Below are 6,785 nucleotides of genomic sequence, written 5' to 3' on the forward strand. Positions count from 1 at the left end.
ACAAAGCAAAGAGCAGCAGCTTAGAACCTGGGAATCCAGGTGAGTCTTCCAGCAATCTCTCAGGCTAGGTGACAGAAATTAGAGATCAGTTCCTACCAATGAGGAGAGGCCCTGGTGTACCTTCCAGGCTTCCTGTTAAGATGCTGGAAGAGTAACAGCACAGGTGTAAGTTGGAAATACAACAGCATGCACAAAGGACTGAAACTCAGCTTCAAATGAGCTCATTCCAGACTGGATTAAAGTGATCTATTCCTACTCTGCCTATCTGCCAAATAGTAGTAAATATCTAGAAAACGAAAACACTGGCCAGAGACTCAAATTACACTTACAATTTTCAAATATAGTATCTGGCATTCAATCAAGTAATTACCAGACATGCCAAAAGATAGGACCAGTTGAACAAAACCAAGGAATAAAACAGACTTGAGAACAGACTCACAGATGATACAGATTAATTAGAGTTATCAGGCATAACTTTAAAATAACTGTGATTAATTTGTTCAAGACAATACTGGGCACAATGGAGAATTTCACTACAGAAGAATTATCAACAATAAAAAGAATAAAATGTAAATTCTCCACCTGAAAAACACAAATTGTTGAAATTAAAATTTTGCTAAAATTAAAAACTGAATAGACAATGAAGAAAAGAGGATTAACTAAAGGACAGGTCATTAGAAGATATCCAGAGTGAGCAGAGACTTAAAAAGGCTGGTTTCACCAGTATATGCAAATGTTAAAACTAATCAAATGGCACACTTTCAACATATGCAATTTATTGTATATCAGTTATTCCTCAGGCATGTATTGTTGCTACAATGGAACAAGAATCATGGTGGCATCATATTTCTTTTCTGTGAAATCATTTTCTAGAAGACAACAGAGCAATAATTTGAAAATTCTCAAAAACTACTACTTTCATTCTAGAATTCTACGATTAACTAAATTAGCAATTATGTGAGGACTGTTTTTAAACATGCAAGTCGCAGAGTATTTACATCCTGGGCACATTTTTTGAAAAAATCTTAATAAGGTATCATAAATAGAAAATGGAGTACAAGAAAAAAGACTGAAGCTTCAAGAAACAGTGACACTTACCTAAGAGTGTGACAAAAAGAAATTCCAGAATGACAGATAAGCAGTAGGCTTGGAAAGCAACTAGTTCCAACTGGACCACGGAAAAGTTATCTTACAGAAGACAGTGAGTTTTATCAAAAGGTTGTATGGTGAAGAAGATGAATGTTTTAATGTTATGGTGAATGTATGTATTGTATATATTAAAATTAATGTGTATAATGTATATATTGAAAATAAAGAAGAAAGGTAATTAAAAGCCTAGGTGGGCACTGTACAAGAAATGTGAAGCAACTAAAATAAAGTACAATTTTCTCTGTGCATAAGAAAGATAATTAATTTAATGTGATACCTGGAACATTCTCCTTCAAGAGGTAGTGACATAGGATTCTGTTTCCTTCTCTGAGGTTCCAATAACACTGTTTGACTTCACAATTCACCATATTTTCACAGTCCACTGTATATGTTCAGTGTATAATAATTTAATCAAATGCTATTTTTTTCTAGTTATAGTTACAGAGAAGAATATAAATGCCTTAAATATCAATGTTGTAAAAATAATGAAATACTAGCAGATGTTGCAAAGTAAAATTAGAGAAAGAAGGAAGAAGGAACTGTAAATATGCTTATTTTCTTACTTTACAAAGTGATATACATATATACCTATATTTTATATATATACATATATATTCTAGATTGGCAAAAATAGAGGTTTAAACATATTAGGTAAAATTTGAAAATAACCAAGAGAAGAACTAGACTATTAATAAAATTATCCGTCTCTCATTTTAAGACGGAGAAATATTTCTCTGACCCCATCTGCTTTCTAAAAACCAATCAGGAAAAAAAAAAAAAAAACAAGAATAAAAATGGAATAAAAAACTCTGGCTAAATCAAGAAACACCTATGACCTGAACTTTAATATTTATAAAGAACTGCTGCCAAGTGCAGTGAAGGTCAGACCAGGGTGAGAAACAAAGCCAAGAGGCCATGCTTATGGCTGCAGATCCCACACAGTAAACAGAGCACATTTTTCCAAGTTAGTGATGTATCTGGAGGAGCAAAAGCAACAGTTCCTTGTTTGAAAAAGCCTGAGGTTTAAAACCTGGCTACAGAATTCTCTATGACACCCTTTTGAAACAATATACACATGACATTCCTGCAAGAGAACATTTTGAGAAAGTTCAGAAAGTAAGGTTAATAGGTGGCCTTGAAGCTAGCAAGTCTTGTAAATTAAAATTTTGTAAAGTCTGAATCCACAACAATACACTCCACTGAACCTTACATATGTAAGGCCTCGTTTTAAGTTAGGAGGACTTCTTCTTAGTCCAGACATTGTTCAAAACCTCTGAAATCGCTGGGTGTGGTGGTTCACGCCTATAATCCTAGCATTTTAGGAGGCCCAGGCAGGAGGATCGCTTCAGCCCAGGAGTTTGAGGCCAGCCTGGGCAACATGACAAAAACCTGTCTCTACAAAAAATTTAAAAATTTAGCAGGGTGTGGTGACAGGCACATGTGGTGCCAGCTGCTTGGGAGGCTGAGGTGAGAGGATCATCTGGGCCTAGGAGGTTGAGGTTGTGGTGAGCTGTGATCGTGCCACTGTACTCTAGCTTGGACAACATAGTGAAAACCCGCCTCAAGCAAGCAAGCAAGCAAACACCTCTGATATCTCTCTCACATTTTCTTTCCCCAAAGAAAGTCCTACACAGAAGGAGTTTGTGTCCAAAAATGAGAATACCCAAGAAAAGGAACCAGGGGGTAGTTTCACGACTGTGTAAATATGCTAAAAAAAAAAAATTGAACTGTACAGTTTAAGTAAGTGAAATATATTGTATGTGAATTATATTTCAATAAATCTTTTTAAAAAAAGAAGCCAGGAGACAAATTCATTACAGAAAAAAAGGCAAAAGAGATAAAACAAATTTGGCATTTGCCAGGAAAAAAATTTATTGGATAGTTGAAAATTATCCCACATATTATAACTTCATATGGATTCAAGGAACTTGGTGAAAAAGTGGCCATCATGAAGAAGAGTTCAAAGTGCAGATACAAGAAGTGACAAAAGTAATGAAAAGACAACATAAGAAGGTAAAATGAAGCCCAGGAAAAATGTAGAAGAGAAAAGTAATAACATCACAGACATAGAAATCACAGAAAAAACAACAGATATTGTTGAAAAGCTAAAGAAATGGAAGACAGGTTTAAGAAAACTGAGCACAAGAAAAAAGAATTTTAAAGAATTATAGAAAAAATCATACACATGGGAAACAGCTAAGGGAGAGTTCATGTTCAATTATGGATTCTTCAGATGACAACAAAATAATCAAGCACACAAAAAATTTTCAAAGTGTAATCCAAGAAAATTCTTCTGAAATAAAAGACTTGAATCTATAAACAGGCATAACATCTTTCAGGAAGAAGTAACAAAGATTAATCAGTGTAGAACATACTCTATAAAAGTTACTGGACTTCAAAGATATGATCTTTCAGACAAAAATCAAATTGCTTCAAGGGACAAGATAGAAATCGGGTTGGCTTCATACTTCCTTAAAGCAACAGTCTACATTGCAGAAATTCACTATCTTCAAACACCTCATGGAAAGTATGACTCAAGAATTTTATTTCTAGCCAAAGTATACTTCAAGCATAAAGGCAACATGCAGATGATTTCAAATATACAAATATTCAAAGAACACAGTTCCTAGGGCTCTTTCTTGAAAAAAGCTACTAACAATTAGCTTCGTCAGTTAAAGACAAATGGAGAATGAAAATAATTAAATGTTCAATACAATAAGTTACAAAAAGAATAACAGAGTAATCTCAAGAGCAAAAGAAGGGAAATATTAGTAAAGATAAGACCAACACTTAAAGAACTAGAAAAGAGAAGAACTGTAGGACAAACACCTCCTAGAGAATGTTTTTAAGGAAAAATAAATGGTAAACTTTTACCTAAGCTAATCAAACAACATAAATAAAAAGGGAAGACATGAATAAATAATAAAAATCAGCATGAAGAAATAAGCATAGATATTGAGGAAATTAAATTTTAAGAGAATACATTGCTCAGCTTTATGCAAATAAATGTAATAGATAATTAGCTCGAGAAAAACTAATTATCAAAACTGATCCCAGAAAAGACAAATCAATTTCTAAAAAATTTTACAGGTTAATTATATCAAATATTTAAGGAACATAAAACCTTAATATTATCTAAATGCTTCCAGAGTATAGAAAGGAAAATTTCCAAAATCTTACCAACTCAACATTAACACAGTCCAATCCCTAAACATTATAAATAAGGACATTAGCTGGTAGATTCTAGTCTATTATTAAGCAAATATATATCATGATCAAGAAAGACTCATACAAAAAAATGCAAAGGTGGGCTGGGCGCCTGCAATCCCAGCACTTTGGGAGGCCGAGGCCGGTGGATCACTTGAGGTCAGGAGTTCGAGACCAGCCTGGCCAACATGGTGAAACCCTGTCTCTACTAAAATACAAAAATTAGCTGGGCATGCTGGCACATGCCTGTAATGCCAGCTACTTGTGAGGCTGAGGCAGGAGAATTGCTTGAACCTCGGAGATGGAGGTTGCAGTGAGCTGAGATCATGCCACTGCACTTCAGCCTGGGCGAAGAAGTGAGACTCCGTCTCAAAAAAAAAAAAAAAAAAGCAAAAGTGGTTTATTATTAAGAAATCTATTATTATAACTTACACATAGATCAAAGGAGAAATACTGCATAAACATTTCTGTAGATGCTGCAATTCATCTAACAACATTTAATATCTCTGCTGAATTACAAAAAAAGTGTATTAATGCAATACTAATAGATGAGTAGTTCCTTAACATGAGGAATATACTATTTTATTTCAAAGGCCAGAAACTATACAGTGAGTCTCATTAAAATCAGAAACAAAATAAGGGTGTACATCATTATCACTATTACTTAACTTTGGGCAATACTAGCCAATGTCATTAGAGAAGAGAAAGAAAAAAAATTAAGATCAGAAAGGAAAACAAAGAAAATATTATTATTTGCAGATGAGATGATACTGTGCCAGAAAGCCCAGAAAAATCAACTAAAAAAAAATCCCTATTTCCAAAAGTAAGAAAATTTAGCAAGGTGGTTGAGAACAAAATTAAAACACAAAAATCAGCAGTTCTCTCTATACAAACAATAATCATCTAGAAAATATAATAGAAGTAAGTATCCAATTTATGTTACAAGAAATATAATAGAATCCTTAGGAATAAACCTAAGAAACATGTATTATTCACATGAAGCAAACTTGAAAACATTATTTAAGGCCATTAAAAAAGACTTAAATAAATAATAAGATGTATCATATTCTTAGATAGGGATGATGGTAATGATGACATCCTCTCCAAATAAACCTATAAATTAAACTTTCTATATAAAAACATTGACACCATTATTTTTGGAATAAAGCAAGAAAAAAGCAATAAGGGATAATCAGCCCTGCCCGGTACAGAAAAGCATTATAAAAATTACAGTAATTAAAGTAGTTTGGGACCAGCAGATGAATGGGAATATCTATGGAAAGGAATAGATATCCCAGAAACAGATGTAACTATGTATTGGGATATTGTTTCTGACAAAGTTGGCATTTCAAATCAGTAAAATTGTGTATTTAATAAATGGTATTAGGATAAGAGGGTAGCGATTTGGAAAATATAAAATTTTCTTTCACCTCTTACACCAAAATAAATTTTAGATAGATTAACGATTTAGATTAACTATTTAGATAAGAAAAAAAATTAAAAGAAATTATATAATTGACTTTACAAAAATTTTGATTTTCTTCATGGCAAAAATCCCAATTATATTTTTTATTTCCAAGCATTAATTTAGCCTGTTTTATCAGACCTCTACGGTCTTTTAAAAATATTATTTTTTCTCTTCATATAAATGATTTGAATATTCAATCCCTTCTTTCATTTAAACAGATTAAATACACCTATTTTATAAATCTTGTCTAATAATTCAATACGTGAAGGCTTTGTAAGTCTTATTCAGCTGTTTCTTTTCCGCTGGCACTTAACTTTGAGTGGCATATTGCTTGTTTTGGTTTATTTGTTCATTTTTAGATTCTTGACTGTACTATCATACTCCTTGGAACTTGTCTAAAAGAATTCTTCTTCAGAAGAGATTTGCATTCACTTCAGCAGTGGCCAGGGAGCACAGTCATTTTAAATGATATTCTTGGCTTGAGGATTTGTGGATCACTGAGACGGTACAAAATCAGTGGTATTAGGTAGCGTTTTTGTTCATTTTGATAGGTGGTATTTTCTTCTTTTTAAAAAAGTTCTAAGTATTTTCTAATTTTCACTATGATTTCTTCTTCGATTGATGGATTATTTCAAAGCTTCCAGACTTTTGTTATTGTTTTTTTTTTTTTTTTTTTTTTTTGCTACCCTCAATTACCTTTATGAGCATTCTGCAAGTGAACTTTCATCACTACTGTTTTATTCAGGCCTTGGATACCTCTTGCTTGTAGTAGAATAACCACTGCACACTGTCTATGGCACCAGTGTTGTCTCTCCGCTCATGTTCTTTGCTTTTTTGTTGCTGTTGTTGTTTTAACTGTATGTAATGGCATGTCTAACTGAGATCTTACATAACTATTCCAGAGAAAAATTCACAGACAAAACCTCCTATAGAGGACATCAGGGAGGAATTGAATCACCTG

Source organism: Homo sapiens, chromosome 2, assembly GCF_000001405.40.
Source record: "Homo sapiens chromosome 2, GRCh38.p14 Primary Assembly".
NCBI classification, from domain to species: Eukaryota; Metazoa; Chordata; class Mammalia; order Primates; family Hominidae; genus Homo; species Homo sapiens.